At 39.3% G+C, this 17,673-nt stretch overlaps 1 protein-coding gene across 1 annotated transcript in view, besides 1 other annotated feature; it reads left to right on the top strand.

Moving 5' to 3' along the window:
* Positions 1 to 17,673, top strand: part of NDFIP1 (Nedd4 family interacting protein 1) — a 45,662-nt gene that overhangs the window by 22,228 nt on the left and 5,761 nt on the right. Inside the window, exons 2-7 of the mRNA NM_030571.4 lie at positions 802 to 889; positions 1,206 to 1,336; positions 4,724 to 4,811; positions 6,728 to 6,852; positions 9,557 to 9,623; positions 13,565 to 13,670. Of these exons, the coding sequence (NP_085048.1) occupies positions 802 to 889; positions 1,206 to 1,336; positions 4,724 to 4,811; positions 6,728 to 6,852; positions 9,557 to 9,623; positions 13,565 to 13,668 (603 nt within the window). The 3' untranslated portion in view covers positions 13,669 to 13,670. The remainder of the gene's footprint in view (positions 1 to 801; positions 890 to 1,205; positions 1,337 to 4,723; positions 4,812 to 6,727; positions 6,853 to 9,556; positions 9,624 to 13,564; positions 13,671 to 17,673) is intronic.
* Positions 14,372 to 14,461: an enhancer, noted in NCBI's record as "active region_23316". NCBI's record gives its function as "activates an Ori minimal core promoter by ATAC-STARR-seq in GM12878 lymphoblastoid cells {active_cell/tissue: GM12878}" and the evidence as "EXISTENCE:reporter gene assay evidence [ECO:0000049][PMID:35858748]".

Raw genomic sequence — 17,673 nt, forward strand, 5'->3', positions numbered from 1 at the left:
GGCAGTGGCACAATCTTAGCTCGCTGCAGCCACGACCTCCTGGGTTCAAGCCATCCTGCTGCCTCAGCCTCCTGAGTAGCTAGAACCACAGGTGCATGCCACCACTCCCGGGTAATTTTTGTATTTTTTGTAGAGACAGGGTTTGTTTTGCCATGTTGCCCAGGCTAGTCTTGAACTCCTAAACTCTCCTAATCTCAAGCGATCCCACCCACCTAGGCCTCCCAGAGTGCTAGGATTACAGGTGTGAGCCACCATGCCTGGCTGAAATTTAATGTATATTTTTTTTGACACAGAGTTTCACTCTGTTGCCCAGGCTGGAGTGCAGTGGCACCATCTCAGCTCACTGCAACCTCCGCCTCCCGGGTTAAAACGATTCTTGTGCCTCAGCCTCCTGAGCAGCTGGGACTATAGGAGTGTGCCACCATGCCTGGCTAATTTTTGTATTTTTAGTAGAGATTGGGTTTTGCCATGTTGGCCAGGATGGCAAAATTTAATTTTTAATGGCCGTTTAGTAGTCCTTTGTGTGATGTACTATAATTTATTTGTCTCCTATGATTGGAATTTAGGTTGTTTCTAATTTTTGCTGACACAACACTTATATGTACCCATTTTGCCTCTTTGAATATTTCCATAGAATAACTTCCTGGGAGTAGAATACTTTTCTTAAAGGATTTGTGCATTTCAAGGCTTTCAAAATACGTTGCCAAATAGCTTTCGAGAAAGGCTATTTATTTCAGTTTTTGGGTTCTTATCTTTCTAATTGGCTTTATGCTTACATTAAAATATGAAATTTTTATTTAGTTGCAGAATGAAGAAGAGTCTGGAGAACCTGAACAGGCTGCAGGTGATGCTCCTCCACCTTACAGCAGCATTTCTGCAGAGAGCGCAGGTAGGTAACAGGGCAAGGTGATCACGGAATCCTTAAAAACACTCTGTGCTTTGACATTACAGTTTAAAAAAAAAAAAGCTTCAGAAGCAGTTGGAAGAAAGGTTACAAAGCAAGTCTGGATTTTAAATAATTGAGAAGTGGATACATTTAAAAATCACCCCCAGTCTCTTACATTCATCTAAGAATGTCTTTTGGTTCAATTGTTATGTATGTACTCTTAAGGGAATGGCTGGGTTTTGTCTGCTAGAGTTAGTGGAACTCCTTTTATTTCAATTCAGCTAATCATCAAAAAATTGTGACTGTTAAAATTCTGCAGCATATTTTGACTACAAGGATGAGTCTGGGTTTCCAAAGCCCCCATCTTACAATGTAGCTACAACACTGCCCAGTTATGATGAAGCGGAGAGGACCAAGGCTGAAGCTACTATCCCTTTGGTTCCTGGGAGAGTGAGTATAATTTGCCATGTTACTTGATGGCTGCTCTGTGGGAATTAAGTTATTTTCATTATCCAATTTTGATTCGTTACTTATGATTGTATTGATTAGTGAAAGTAGAGCTAATTTTAAAAATCAGGTACATTTGCTTTTGGGATAATAAACTCATCTCTTCTTAAAAATGATGAGGTAAATTACTAGTCAGACCTGCTCATTTTTCCTTCATCTCTCCTATTACCACTACTTTTTCAAGTCTCCTGGGATGGCTGAAGTATCTTGAAGCAGAAGCACACTAATGTTTCCTTGATTCTGCACACTTAATATTTTGCTGTTGGGTGGATAGCTGCTAGGGAGGTCTAGGAAGAGAATAAATATATGCAAATTTGTAGAATTAAACTCATAAGAGGGATCTTCACATTGATTTAGATGAACTCCGTTCTTCCAGCAGTCCAGATCATGTCATTTGTGGGGACATAGTGAGTTCAGATTCCATCTAGCCTGATGTTGATTCATGGAGGTGGAGATTGGGATGCCATATAAACCAGTGGAGATTATTGGGCACTCTTGGTTCTTGATGTCAGATATGTGAGTGCTGCATTTGTCATTTTGTAAATATTCATCCAGATTGAGGCTGATGAAGGTAGGGCATTGTGGGAGAATGGAAGCAGGATAAGTCCCCAGAAATGCGGGGACCATCAGGCCTCTAGGCTCTATTCTAGCAAGTAACTGGAGTGAGTGATGAGCAAGTACAGAAGCCTAGTCTGGGCAGTGTGATGGCATAGGCCCAGATGTTCCCCTCTTGGCTTTAAGATAGTAGACAGTTTGCAGACCACACCTACTGTGAGGAGCGAAGCTCCTAAAATCATTGCTTGGTAGAAATAGTTTATGAGCCCAATCTAGGATGATCCTAAATGGCGATGATGTGCATTCAGTTCTTACAGGTACCAGGGAGAAACTAAAAACCCTAGTGTCTAAGGGCAAGACCATCATAATGTAACTGCCGTATATTGGAAGCAAACCACATGCTTGGTACTGTGCTTGATGCTTTTATATATTTTGTATATTGTTTCCAATCTTCATAGTAACCTTGAAAGGTAGAGATTATATTATCTCCATTTTACAGATGTGAAAATTTAGGTCCAGAGAGAAAAAGTAATTTTCCCAAAGTCATATGACTGATAAGTAGCAGAAGTGAAAGTCAAACCCAGATATTCTAGAATCCAAAGTCCTTGTTTGTTTCACTGTACTCTGCAGATCTGTTGCAATATATGGTAAATAGATCAGTATGGAAATTAGCTCTGATTAATCACATAACTCTTCAGAATACTTTCATTTGATACAAGTACATATTTAGGAACTTCTTAAAGGGCTCTAGTATTCAGCAGACATGTATAAAGCACTTTTTAAATATAAGATGCAGTATATTTTACAGTGGATAGGTAAAAAGCTTTGTATAAGGCAGTGTTCCTCATTGTTATTCAAAAGCCTAAAATCCAACTAGGGTAAAGGGCCCACAAATACTGATAACTAAGACACATAAGAGCAGTGGGCATCAAGAACTGAAACTTTTTACTGGGTGATCATAGGGGAAAATGAGATTTGATGTGGGCCCGGAGTTTTGATGGGTAAGAACATTCCAGAGGGAAAAAGGCACAGAAAGCAGGTGTGAATTCAGCCAGGTGAAGGCAGTTCTGTGGATGTAGTAATTGGCTTTGTATGAGCAAGAGTTTGTGAAGGGAGATAGAAAGTCCTGACTACAACTGTTGTTTATAGAATCTTTGGAATGTTAGATGGGCGTATTTAAACTTCATATGTAGCTTTTAGAGAATCCTTCAGAGTTTTTGAGCAGGGGTATGAGAGGACTTGTGTGGTGTTTTGGAAACATTAACTTGGCAGCAATTTCTAGGATGCATCATGGTAGAAGAGATACCAAGAGGACAGGAAGAACAGTTAGAAGGTGTTCGTAATATTATTAGATGTTACTTCCATATATTTTTTGGAGTATATCTTTGAATAGTTATGCAAAAAACAATTAGCTTTTAATTTTGGCAAAACCTTATTCTGCTGATACGAAGTAAGAATACTAGGTATTTAATGTTTTAAAAAATTAATTATAAAAATTCGTTTTTATAGAAATTTCAAACAATAGAGGAAGTATGTTAAGTTAGAAAAGGAAGCTGCCATTGCCACCGACTTCCCTTTCTCTAGTTCCCACTCCCCAGGGGAACCACTGTTAACAATTTGGGTCTTCCAGACCCTTTTCTGTGTACAACAAGTTTTGATATTCCCTAAAATATTTTTCATTTAAGGAGCCCTCATTGAACTGTGTACAAATCTATCACTTTTAAGTATATATTCAATTATTTTTAAATATCTCAACACACACCTATATCAGTTAAAAAGATAGCCCACATGTGTTGGTATTGTTCATGATCATGTTATTTCTAGTTTTGCAATATTACGTTATCAAGTTAGGATGGAAAAGATCTTATCTGCTGATAAGGTTAGAAGTGAGATTTAGATCTGTATACCAATACAAATACATGCTTATGGAGTTGAGCAGTGGGCAGTTCTGTGGACTATTCATGTATGATCGTACTATTCTTTTTTCCCCTATATCAGCCTCGTAAAGCACTTGAGCTGGTTGATTTTATCTTTTTTTTTTTGAGACGGAGTCTCACTCTGTTGCCCAGGCTGGAGTGCAGTGGTGGGATCTTGGCTCACTGCAAGCTCTGCCTCCCGGGTTCATGCCATTCTCCTGCCTTAGCCTCCCGAGTAGCTGGGACTACAGGTGCCCGCCACCACTCCCGGCTAATTTTTTTGTATTTTTAGTAGAGACGGGTTTCACCATGTTAGCCAGGATGGTCTCGATCTCCTGACCTCGTGATCTGCCTGCCTTGGCCTCCCAAAGTGCTGGGATTACAGGCATGAGCCACTGCACCTGGCTGATTTTATCTCTAATTACTAATATTTTAGGTCCTAAACAGGTCCTCGATTACTGATATTCTAGAATTTAAACCAAATGTGTAAGTAAATTTTGTCTTTTGTCTTTTCTTGAGGTATATTTTTTTAAAGGAAGAGTAAATAGTTCTTTGTGAACTATTCTTGAAGTGTATTGTTTTTGAAGTGTATTAAATTTTTGAAGTGTATTGTTAAAGAACTTGGGTTATAAGATGAAAATTTCATTTAGAACACTGGGGATAGAAGAAAGATTTGCTTCTTTTCTAATTATATATTAATAATGCAAAATGGAATTTTAAACACACATTGAGCCTTTAATGCTCATAATTTTGAACTGAACCAAAGCAATAACTTTTTTCCTTGCTACTCAAATTTAACCCTTCATTTTTCTTTATGTCTTCCCTTTGCCTAGAAATAATTCTTTTTCTTTTCATTTAGGATGAGGATTTTGTGGGTCGGGATGATTTTGATGATGCTGACCAGCTGAGGATAGGAAATGATGGGATTTTCATGTTAACTTTTTTCAGTAAGTATGTATGCATATCAGAACCACCCCCTACAAACTAGAGTGCTTTGGATTATGGGTGAATCTGACTGAATTAAAATAACTAGTTGAGCTAATATATTAATACATTATGTTTATTTGGTGCCTTTTACTGGAATATTCAAAGCTTAATATACCTTTGTTTTAATATCCCTTCTCTTTGCCTTCTATTTTCATGAATATCTGTGGAAAATATAATTAAAGCAGTTATGAGGATGCTGCATTTTTACATGAGCTAAGCCTCATCTTCCAGGTCTACGGGGCCCTTTTGCGTTGCTTCTACTCATACTTAATCTGTAGAATAGGAATTAAATGCCTTTGATGAATTTTGCTCTGAAAGCTTCTTTTTTCTGACAGATCAAAGTCAGCCTGATTTTCTCCCTTCATGTTACTTGCCATTTATCTTTTTGTGTGCCTCACATAGAAGTGAGCAACCATTTCCTTTATTTGTTGTATTAGAAAGATAAGAAAATGCAATGCTTTTAGAGGTGATGTTATATAAGTTGTCAAAATTCAGAGAACAGGAGGATGAGTGACTTGAATCAGATTATTTGGGGGCACTTATTTAATGTTGAAGGCATTTATTTTATTTACTGGACTATATATATATAACACACACAGTAAAAAGCAGAGGTCAGGCTGGGCATGGTGGCTCATGCCTATAATCCCAGCACTTTGGGAGGCCGAGGCAGGCAGATGCCCTGAGGTCAGGAGTTCGAGACCAGCCTGGCCACCATGGTGAAACCCCATCTCTACTAAAAATACAAAAATTAGCTGGGTGTGGTGGCAGGCACCTGTAATCCCAGCTACTCAGGAGGCTGAGGCAGGAGAATCGATTGAACCCGGGAGGCAGAGGTTGCCGTGAGGTGAGATCGCACCATTGCACTCTAGCCTGGGGGACAAGAGTGAGACTTCGTCTCAAAAAAAAAAAAAAAAAAAGAGGTCAAAGGCTGGGCACAGTGGCTCATGCCTGTAATCCCAGCACTTTGGAAGGCTGAGGTGGGCGAATCACCTGGGGCTAGAGGTTCAAGACCAACCTGGCCAACATGGAGAAACCCCATCTCTACTAAAAACAAAAATTAGCCGTTAGCCGGGCCTGGCGGTGCACGCCTATAGTCCCAGCCACTCGGGAGGCTGAGGCAGGAGAATCACTTGAACCTGGGAGGCAGAGATTGCAGTGAGCCAAGGTCGTGCTACTGCACTCCAGCCTGGGTGACAGAGTGAGACTCAGTCTCAAAAAAAAAAAAAAAAAAAAAAGCAGAGGTTGTAAGTATACAGTTTGGTGAATGTTAAGGTTTGCTTTTTGCTGTTTTTTGTTTTTTTTGCTTTTTCCTTTTGAGACAAGGTCTTGCTCTGTTGCCCAGGCTGAATTTGGAGTGCAGTGGTGTGATCACTTCTCAGTGTACCCTTGACTTCCTGGGCTCAAGTGATCCCCCCACCTCAGCCTCCCAAGTAGCTGGGACTTGCAGGTGTGCACCACTGTGCCCGGCTTTTGTTTGTTTGTTTGTTTGTTTTGTTTTTTTCAGTTTTTGTAGAGATGGGTCTCACTGTGGTGCTCAGGCTGGTCTCAAACTGCTGGGCTCGGGATCCTCCAACGTTGGCCTCCCAAAGTGCTAGGATTACAGATGTGAGCTATTGTGCTCAGCCTATTAAGGCGTTTTTGAAAGTGACTAGCAGTAGACATAAGTGTGTAAAACCTGATAGGGAGGAGTTTTTCTTGTTTGCTTTTTGGGGAAAGACAGAAGAATGGATGTTTTAGAGGAGGTATGGTGACGGTTGTGGAGGACAGGCTGTCTTTTATCCTTTGGAAAGTCATTTAAACAGAGGCAGGTGTAAGGCACTCTTGTTCTTGGGTAACAGGACATGTCTAACATCTTTCCCCTCCTCTGCTTTTGCAGTGGCATTCCTCTTTAACTGGATTGGGTTTTTCCTGTCTTTTTGCCTGACCACTTCAGCTGCAGGAAGGTATGGGGCCATTTCAGGATTTGGTCTCTCTCTAATTAAATGGATCCTGATTGTCAGGGTAAGTTGTATAACAGAAAAGATGGGCTCTACAGAGAGGCAATAATCAGAATATTTTTGAATATTCGATTTTTCATTTGCTTTTTTAAAAGTTATTTCAGTGTGTTAAATGATTTTTGGTTTGTCTGTGGTTTCATGATGAAGCTGAACCAAAATCATTTGCAAATGGTTCATGCACACAAGTTTTGTTGTCAAATCTATTGAAAACTGGTCTATCATTAATATTGTTCACCATCTGCTTTGTTTGTTTTTAATGTTTATAATATGATAATGTATATGTTCTGAAATTAGTTGTTTTTATAATAAAAGGAAGGATATTACCCCTTTGATATCTCATCAAAAGCAGCCATTCCTCTCATTAATTCTGTTACAGTTTTAATCTAGCTCTCTTCTTCCTTCTTTTCTTTTCTCCTTCTCTTCCCCTCTCCCTTCCAGGATTGCTTATGCCAAAATGTTTGGGGAGCCAAAACTGTTTAACAAGTATTGCTCCATTAGGAGCCTACCTCTCAAGTAAATTACAGAGATGTATGTCTTTAGTGACTTCAGAGTTACCAGTTAGTTAAATTTGCATGAAGTAATTTACAGTTGTAAAAGATCTAGGCTTTTAAAGTATCCTCTGATTTCAGATAAATTTATTGCTATCGTCAACCTTATAAACAAAACCAATTTATCCGTCATAAATTGGCATACTTAACTAACTAATGGGTGTTGCTTGACCACTGTAGTTTTTCTACGTAGTGCCACCTTATTTATTATAAAACATTTGTTAACGTTTTTAGGGTTCCAGAATCCTTTGGGAATCTGATGAAAGTTGTAAGCTTTTCCCCCACATAGCTAATATGTACTCATCTATAATAATGGACTTTAGGTTAAGAACTCGAGCCCTAAAGAGGTTTTCATTCCTTCCCTAAATTTTAATTGTTACTTTATTAACAAAGAAAATACTATATTTTACTTTTCGAACTACATTAAACTCTTGGACACCAAAGCCTCCAAGGAAAAGAGAAATAAAATTAATTCCAGTCTTTTTTTTTTTTCAAACTAAATTTTCAACTGCATTTAAAAAGTGAATCAAATGGGCCGGGTGCGGTGGCTCACGCCTGTAATCCCAGCACTTTGGGAGGCCGAGGCGGACAGATCACGAAGTCAGGAGATCGAGACCATCCTGGCTAACATGGTGAAACCCCGTCTCTACTAAAAAAATACAAAAAAAATAGCCAGACATGGTAGCGGGGGCCTGTAGTCCCAGCTACTCGGGAGGCTGAGGAAGGAGAATGGCGTGAACCCAGGAGGTGGAGCTTACAGTGAGCCGAGATCGTGCCACTGCACTCCAGCCTGGGCGACAGAGCGAGACTCCTTCTCAAAAAAAAAAAAAAAGTTAAATGAATTAACTTGTATCAGGTAGGATGCTTTTGACTGTGAGTAACAAAAACCTAGCTCAAAATGGCTTAGAAAAAAATTTTTAATTGTTTTTTTAAACGGGGAAATTTTATTTCCCCTGAAAACAAGTCCCTGACAAGGTTAGTTAAGTCAGTGGTTCTTTGACATCATCAAGGACAGCTGACATATCAGCATATTGGCACAGGTCCCCCCTCCCCTCAGGGTTAAAAGATGGCAGTTTCACGTATCAGTATTACATTGAAACACGACAGTGCTCAAGAGAAGAAAAAGAACTATTTAAAAAAAAATTTTCTACCACCTTTAGAAAGAACTGTTTTTTTCTTTGAGAAGCAAGGAAAGCTTCTCAGAAGCCCTCAATTTCCACTGGTCAGAATGGCATCCTGTGCCCATTCCTAAACCAGCAAGGGAAGGGGATTACCCTGGTATACATGATAAAGCTTCCAAAGTCAAGACAAGGCTGGAGGAGTAGGAAGAAAATCAGGCCTCATTAGAAAGAAGGCAATGGTATCATCTACTCAGGAGGCTGAGGTGAGAGGATTGCTTGAGCCCAGGAGTTCAAATGCAGCCTGGACAACATAGTGAGATCCTGTCTCTTAAAATTAATAATAATAATAATTGCTTTTGGCACTGAATAGGCAAAGTAAAACGATCATTATTGAAACACATTTCTAGAAGAGCAAATATTATGTGGGGAAAATGTTTTCTAAAAAAACCAATTTTTGTATACTTTCAAAATAAGGAGTTAATAAAGCTAAAAGCTGTCATATTTAACAATTGCTTTTCCTTGAAAGGAAATAGATTTGCATTTATTGTAACCATTTCAAGCTAGTAATATGTAAAATACTTTCACTTATATTTTAAAATTATTCTAAAGGCTAAGTGATGGCATTGGTAGAACAAATAAGTCTTGCTGGTCACGGTAGCTCACGCCTGTAATCCCAGCACTTTGGGAGGCTGATGTGGGTGGATCACCTGAGGTAGGGAGTTTGAGACCGGCTTGACCAACATGGAGAAACCCCATCTCTACTAAAAATATAAAGTTAGCCAGGCATGGTGGTATATGCCTGTAATCCCAGCTACTCGGGAGGCTGAGGCAGGAGAATCGCTTGAACCTGAGAGGCAGAGGTTGCAGTGAGCCGAGATCACGCCATTGCACTTCAGCCTGGGCAACAAGAGCGAAACTCCGTCTCAAAAAAAAAAAAAAAAAGAATAAGTCTTGCATTTTGTGATTTTGTGTACCCTTAAGTTAAAATGAGAAATTGTGTCTGTTAAGCTGCTATAAAGTGTTTTGCCTTATTTTTTAGTTTTCCACCTATTTCCCTGGATATTTTGATGGTCAGTACTGGCTCTGGTGGGTGTTCCTTGTTTTAGGTAAGTGTTTTTAATGTAAGAAAAGGCAAGAAAACATTACATTAAATTTTATAAGTAAAATTACTTGTAGTAAATGTTCATCTTGATTACTGTATAGTAATATATTAACAATTAATAATAAACATTTTTAAAATGTTGCTTTCTTAAAAATAGTCTTTCGTTACCATCAGAGTAACATGCACGTTAATAAAAAGTTTCTTTGTGGTTGTAGGTTCTTCCTAACCTATACATATATTCTTCTCCCCCATGTGATAAATGGGGTATGCTGATGACTCTGTAGTCTGTCAGTTTTTTTCCCCTTGTGAGCTATTGCCACACAGCATTCACAGACTCAAACCAGAATTGCTTATACGCTTACTGCAGCCAGTTGAACTAACTCATAAGTGCAGGTGGCCCATCTTTGGTGGGTCTGTCAGTAGAAAACAGAAAATATGTAACCTCGCTAGACATAACTTCTGAAAGAACCACCATTGGATTTCCAGAATGCTTTAGTTTACCGTTGGTGAGAATAAGAACTATTTTACAATAGGCAAGAGGACTTTTTTTTTTTTTTTTTTTTTTTTTTTTACAGAGTCTTGCTCTGTCGCACAGGCTGGAGTGCAGTGGCGTGATCTCGGCTCACTGCAAGCTCCACCTCCCGGGTTCACACCATTCTCCTGCCTCAGCCTCCCGAGTAGCTGGGACTACAGGCACCTGCCACCACGCCCGGCTAATTTTTTTGTATTTTTAGTAGAGACGGGGTTTTACCGTGTTGGCCAGGATGGTCTCGATCTCCTGACTTTGTGATCCGCCCGCCTCGGCCTCCCAAAGTGCTGGGATTACAGGCCTGAGCCACCATGCCTGGCCTGGATTATATTTTTTACTCTAAATATTTATTTTTAAATACTTTTTTCCTAGACATTAAAACAAAGAGATGAACATTGGAGTAAATTATTTCAATGTTGGCTTCTTGATTATATGTAAAGAAAATATATATGATACAGTTAGAGAGACCACCATCACTTCTGTCATTTCTACAAAAGAATAACAGGGCCATCTTGTGGCTATTAAAGATGGTGTGATTGCCTCACTGTGCTTCTGTGACATCAGTTTCTCCTATGTCCTGTTTTGCTTCTTGTTGCCCCCTTAATTAAGATCCTTGGTGGTGGTTCTGCTAATGGTTCTGGCTAGGACATCCTGGCACCCATGCCTGGCAGGTGTTTAATAAATTGAGGACCTGGGCCAGGCATGGTGGCTCACGCCTGTAATCCCAGCATTTTGGGAGACTGAGTCAGGAGGATTTCACCTTGAGGCCAGGATTTTAAGACCAGCCTGGGCAACATAGCAAGACCTCGTCTCTACAAAAAAATTTTTTTAAATTAACCAAGCATGGTGGTTTGTGCCTGTAGTCCTAGCTACTTGGGAGACTGAGCCAGGAGGACCCCTTGAGCCCAGGAGTTGGAGCCTGCAGTGAACTATGATGGCGTCACTGCACTTCAGCTTGGGTGACAGCAAGACAGTGTCTCTAAAAACAAAACAAAACAGTTCAGGACCTGTTTTGCCAAAACTGACAGAGCCTTGCATTGCTGACCCTACATTTTACTTAGAAAACATAAATCATTCATCGCACCATCTACCACCTCCTCAACAGCATCATGTACTCTATGATTGGTCATTAGAATTCTAAGGAAAGAGAAATAGTAATTTTTTTTCCTCTATTGATTATTGAGAACTTCAGTAATAAAAATGACCAACAGGAGAATAATTTAGAAGAAATAGTTCCTTGGCTTGCTTATTTTCTAAACTGTACCTTTAAGAGAAAGGCTGACCACCCGTGTTTCCCCAAGTCAAATCCTGAATGGACCAAAGAGGAGCCCTTAAGCGTATGTTCAGATTGATTGCTTATGGCATAAATAATTTAAAGAAATTTAATGGATTGATTCCCTTTTAAAGTTTCATGGGAGGAGGTTTTATAATCCTTCATCATTGATCATTCTTGCTATGTACCATTTGCTTGTAAGCAAAAAATAAGAGTTTGGCCCGGCGTGGTGGCTCATGCCTGTAATCCCAGCACTTTGGGAGGCCGAGGCAGGCAGATAACTTGAGGTCAGGAGTTCGAGACCAGCATGGCCACCGTGGTGAAACCCCGTCTCTACTAAAAATACAAAAATTAGCTGGCTGTGGTTGCTCATGCCTATGATCCCAGCTACTTGGGAGGAGAATGGCTTGAACCCGAGAGACGGAGGTTGCGGTGAGCTGAGATCGTGCCACTGCACTCCAGCCTGGGTAACAGAGCAAGATTCCATCTCAAAAAAAAAAAAAAAAAAAAAAAATATATATATATATATATATATATATATTAATAAGAGTTTGGATACACTTATGAGCATTTGTGCCCAATATTCGGGTCATTTTGGGAACTTCCCTTTTGAAGAGAACCAGTTTAATGGTGTTTTGTCTTGCAGAGCTCTGTGCAGAGCTCCCAAGCTGGCTGCTCTTGAGCTATAGTTAGCCTATAGTTTATTTGTTCCACAGTTATTTTTCAAGTTTTTTTAAATTAGTTGCCAACATTTTAAAAATCAAAATTATTTCACATAAAACGCCTGAATGTTTTTACTTTTCTTGAAAGTTGGAATATCAAGAAAAGCTAGCCTACATTTCACATGGCACCCTTTGGCTGGAGCTGAGTTGTTGCTGTCTCCTCCATACAGGTCATGTGCCTTCCAGTTCAGTAAGATCCCACCACCATACCCCAACTTAGTATTTGAAGGGGTAACCCCTGCTCAATAGTCACTTGTTGCTTTGGGTCCCAAACAGAATGATGTTCCCCAAGCTCAGAGCTGACAGCTCTTGGTTACTGCTAAAAATCAGTTCAACTGTCCAAGTACCATTTTCTACCACTGAGTATCCCAGTAAAAGTATTTAAAAAAAAAAATGTGCTAAAGGCTCAGAGACCATCTCTGAAAGAGGAAGGCCAGGAGGAGTATCTGAGTTTCCACTGGAGGGGCATATCACCTCTCTGCTGACAGTTTTAGGAGGTACAAACTTTTGTGAATGTATAGATTCTGGTGTAGTCACACAAAAAGAGTCTTACTAAGAATAGAGAAATAGGCTGGGTACAGTGGTTGACACCTATAATCCCAACTCTTTGGGAGGCTGAGACAGGAGAATCACTTGAGCCTAGGAGTTGAAGGCCAGCCTGAGCAACATAGCGAGACCCCTATCTCTACAGAAAATTAAAAAATTAGCTGGGCATGAACCTGTTATCTTAGCTACTTGGGAAGCAGAGGCAGGAGGATCATCTGGGCCCAGGAATTCAAGCTTGCAGAGGCTGTGATCATACCGCTGCACTCCAGCCTGGGCAACAGAGCAAGACCCTGTCTGTTAATAATAATAATAATAATAATAATAATAATAATAGTAGACAAAGTTTCAAGTTGAGACGATGAGAATTGCTGTAATAGATAAGGGGATCCTGACATCTAGTGGACAACATTATATACTGTCGACAGAAAAAACAGCCCATGACAAGGAAGGTTACATTTTTTCTTTTTACTTGAGAAAAACACAGTTATAACCTCTTTTTGTTGTTGTTGTTGTTGTTGTTGTTTGGAGTTCATTATCTTGGAATGCTTTTTTGGAACTCAATAGGTAGATTTTGATGTTTCTCAATGAGGCTTTCATATGTAAATGTTTGGCTCCATCTTATTTTTTATTTCCTTTTTAGACCAATTCAATTCTGAATGTGCAAAAGACACTATTGACTCTTACATTATACCTTCTCATTGAAGGATGGATAATTTGGTATGAAAATCCTCTGCAGATTCTGGAGGAAATTGCTAATGTTTTGATTACCTTTAGCAGAAAAATAACAATGTATCGCTATCAGGAGAGGGATTTCTGGGGAGGGGACTTAACATGGAAATTATAAATTCATTCATGACTTTTCTTTTTTAAATTAGGCTTTCTCCTGTTTCTCAGAGGATTTATCAATTATGCAAAAGTTCGGAAGATGCCAGAAACTTTCTCAAATCTCCCCAGGACCAGAGTTCTCTTTATTTATTAAAGGTATTAAAGAAAAAATTTATTCTAGTCCCAGTGTAACCATGTGCTACATTGTAGATTTCTGTTCAGTTTTAGAGTAAGTATCTGTGATAGGGGCATATAGAGAAAGTAAAGAAGGCACAGTCCCTGCCTTTTAGCAGTTTCTTGTCTAGTAACAGGGATTTTTACAAAAAGCTATTGATAAAGTCAAATTAGAAAAACTGCCATAGGAGAAATCATTACTTCATGCTTTGACAGTGTGAAAGAGGCAGGGGTCTTAGCAGTCATCAGAAAGCTGGGATATTTGGCTGCTTGACTGAATTCCAGCATCCTGAAGCCACTGCTTACTGTTGCACCAGTTCCAGAGGATGACATTCAGAAGGAACCCTTCAGGCCTAATCACTCATCTCTGCCCCTAAATCCCAGAACCTGGAGAGACTGTGTAGTACTTTAAGAACTCCTTTTGTCTGGGCTGCTGACAAGCCCACCAAGTCTTCCATCTTTTAAAATTGTCATTGAGGCTTTCCCCATGGCTTTCTTCAGGTTGACATTCTGATACCACTCTAATGTGAGGAAGGTCAAACTCAAGAAAAGAGGAGAAAGGACCTTTTCCCTTGCCTAGAACAGGAGGACTAAGCCCTGCCAAGGCTCTTTGATTCACACATGATTTTCCCCAGAGGCTGACACTCCATCTTACATCAATGGCTGCCTGAAGGAAGAGGTAGAGAATCTTGAGAAAGAGTACACCAGAGAGAGCTCTCTGTGGTAGCAAGTTCTAATAGGCTTTCTTGGACTTGGCTGTTTGTTCCTTGGGGCTTTGGGGACTGTGTTAATCATAGAGTGGAACCTTGAGCACCACCTAGAGGCCAGTCCAGTTGAAGGTCTTAGGCAAAGCATTATAAAGGATAGGTGGTGTAGTTCAGATAAACTTTACATGATAGTGGAGAGTGTGGGGAAGAATTTCAGAATCATCTGAGGCAGAGTGAAGAGCAAAAATAGGGAAGTATGGGGCTTGTTCAGAGGATAGCAGCTTGATTGGGGCATAAAGGAGTATTGAGGGTCAAGGCTAAAAAGTCAGGTTGAAACAAGTTTCTCAGATACCTTGAGCACCAAGCCCATTTGCAGTAGAACCATGAAATTGATAGAGCCAGCGACATGTTGGGTCAATGCAAGACTAAGCCCACGTGGAGCACGAATTTGTTCTGTACTCGCAGAGTGTCAGTTTATATAGGCAATCATATACTAATCGTGAGGTTCTCAATTTTGAAGACTTGTGGTGGTCTCAGGAGGTATGCTTCAAGAAAATAAAGCATCTACCATAGTTGATTTTCCAGGTGATAGAACAGCATTGAAAGCTTTTAGGCAACAGAATCATATAATGAGACCCTCTTGAATATAACAAACATTTTTTCAAGCATAGTATAGTAAACTAAAATTAACACTCATGGAGTTTTCCATGTGTCAGATAATATATTAAGCATTTTACATGGATAATTAAATGTATGTAGGTAAAGAAGGCTTAAACTGCTTTTAAAGTTAGTTTCATTATTAAAAAAACTAGTATTCATTATTAAAAAACAGGAATCTTTGATTGCATGTCTGAAAATGTGTAGCATGTCATGAATTTGAATTCAGTCACACAGTCTGGACACAGATGGATATTCATACCACTGGCCTGGGCCTTAATGCCTACAATGTGTCTTTGTTTATGTCTAGAACATAAGAGACTTATTAGATATTCTTTGCAGTTTTATTTAGTTACCATTGTCATCTTTCATCTATATATCAGATTGGAATTTATAGTTAGCCTTAGGTTTAACTTTTACCTATCAAGGATTCCAAAGCTAGTACTGTTGGGTTGCTACAAGTCCTCCTTATGAAGGGTGCTGAAATCACCTAATATTTTCCCTCTAATACATTGACACCCAAGATATACTGAGGGGACAGATTTCTTTCTCTTTTTAAAAAAAGTCATCAATTCTGTAGGTGTAGTCTAATGTTAGCTCTGAATTTCTAAATGGACTGAGATCACACCTCTGTCTATTCTCTTTGTTCTTCAGTTAGAAAGAAATCTGAATCTTTATTAGGGGATTGCATACCTTCTTCATCTTGGTTCTAAGCATAAGAAATAGCAGCCCAGTTGACAGAAAGCCTGAACGTCTCAGTTTTCCTGTGTTGTTTGGTGCTTTACTGAAAATTTTGTTGTTATTGTTTGGATTTTCTAAAATTTCTGAAATGTTTTTTGATATTCTAAATTTAAAACTATGTATGTGGGGTTGTGATTTGAAGTAGGCAGTCCTTAGTAATAATAATGTTGTAGGAAGTACTAAGGGAGATTCAAGTGTTGAGCCTGCTGGTGCTTCAGGAGTGTACGTTAAGAGTTGTCAGAAACTTTCTCAGAGGTAAATGAATGCACACCATTGGAGGGCATAATAGAGTTTATTTGCTTTTCTATTTAACTGTGATACCCTGGTTTATTTGAAATCATTCCTGACACACCCAGAGAATTCAGAGCTCTAAATTAAGGGTTTGAGGAACTTACAGCAGAATTTAGAATTCTAATGACTTCACTAATTTTCCAGGGATCCCCAGAGGGAACCTGAAAAGCCATAATATCCTATGGGACTGAGTTCCCTTTGTCCACTGAAAGGGTAAGAACTCTGTCCAGATCCAGATGTAGAATCCCTTCTTTCTCTAGTTCAGAGGACATTTAGTTTAATTTTGTTAGAAGACATACTAGAAAACCGTCATGTGAAGTAAGAAAGCTTTATTTTTTTCCTCCCTATCGATTCTTTATTATGCTTATCACAGTTTTTAAAAAGTAATTATCTGCTAATTCCAACATCAGGTTAGATAAGTCTATTTGTATTGATGGATTTTTCTCTTGACTCTGGGTTACATTTTCCTGTTTTTACACACCTGGCCAGTTATTTCTTTGTTGCAGCATTGTTAATTATCATGTTGTAGAGATTATGAGCTCTGAATTTTGTCAGAAGGTTGTTGAGTTTTTGCCTAGCAGGCAGTCAAATTACTAAAGGATAAATTTGATCTTATTTCTAACTGTCATGTACAGTGATTCTTCTAGGGAGATAGGGATAGGGGAGAGGGAAAATGTAGTTTAAAAATCCTAGGCTAACTCCTGCTGAGGAAAATCACTGGTAAACTAGTGACTACTCTGCTAAATTGCCTCTCTTGACATTGTCAACCTGAAGCCATCAAAAGGATCAGAATACAGAGTTTATGCAAGTAGAAAGCTGGGAATGGCCAATCAGAGAACACAAACTTTAGAAAATGGGGTCAGTGTTCCCAAAAGCTTTATTTTCTTTTATGGACTTCTACTTCTTTGATGGAGATGTCACCAATTAAAAGGTAGCTGAAGAAAGACACAGGTAGGGAATTTTTAAAATAACTTTGCCAGAAAGATACAGATACAGAATTTTTAAAATAACTTTACCAAAACAGAAAAATAATATACTTTCCATATTGTACTAAGATTTGGCATTTTACTAGAAAAGGGCATAAGAATAGTGACTTTTCTAGTCAGGCTACCTGAAATATAGTACAAATAAACCAATCTTGAAGTGATCCCAAAACACCTCCTTCTAATCAGTCAAAGTAGATATTACAAAAGCTAAACATTAAAGCTCATGTACTACTATCATAGGGGCAGCTCTCAGGTTCCTTTTCAGAGTCCATTTAAGCTTAAGGGAGGGAAAAATGTATTAATAAGCTGTTATCTGTTTTCCTACTTCATAACAAAATGCCAGAAGGAACTGCTAAAGGTGTGCACAGTGGCCATCAAGAAGTATGTGACTGGGCCGGGCGCAGTGGCTCACGCCTGTAATCCCAGCACTTTGGGAGGCCGAGGTGGGCAGGTCACCTGAGGTTAGAAGTTTGAGACCAGCCTGGGCAACATGACAAAACCCCGTCTCTACTAAAGATACAAAAATTATCTGGGTGTGGTGGTGTGCACCTGTAATCCCAGCTACTTGGGAGGCTGAGGCAGAAGAATCGCTTGAACCCAGGA

Source organism: Homo sapiens, chromosome 5 (genome assembly GCF_000001405.40).
Source record: "Homo sapiens chromosome 5, GRCh38.p14 Primary Assembly".
Taxonomy (NCBI): Eukaryota; Metazoa; Chordata; class Mammalia; order Primates; family Hominidae; genus Homo; species Homo sapiens.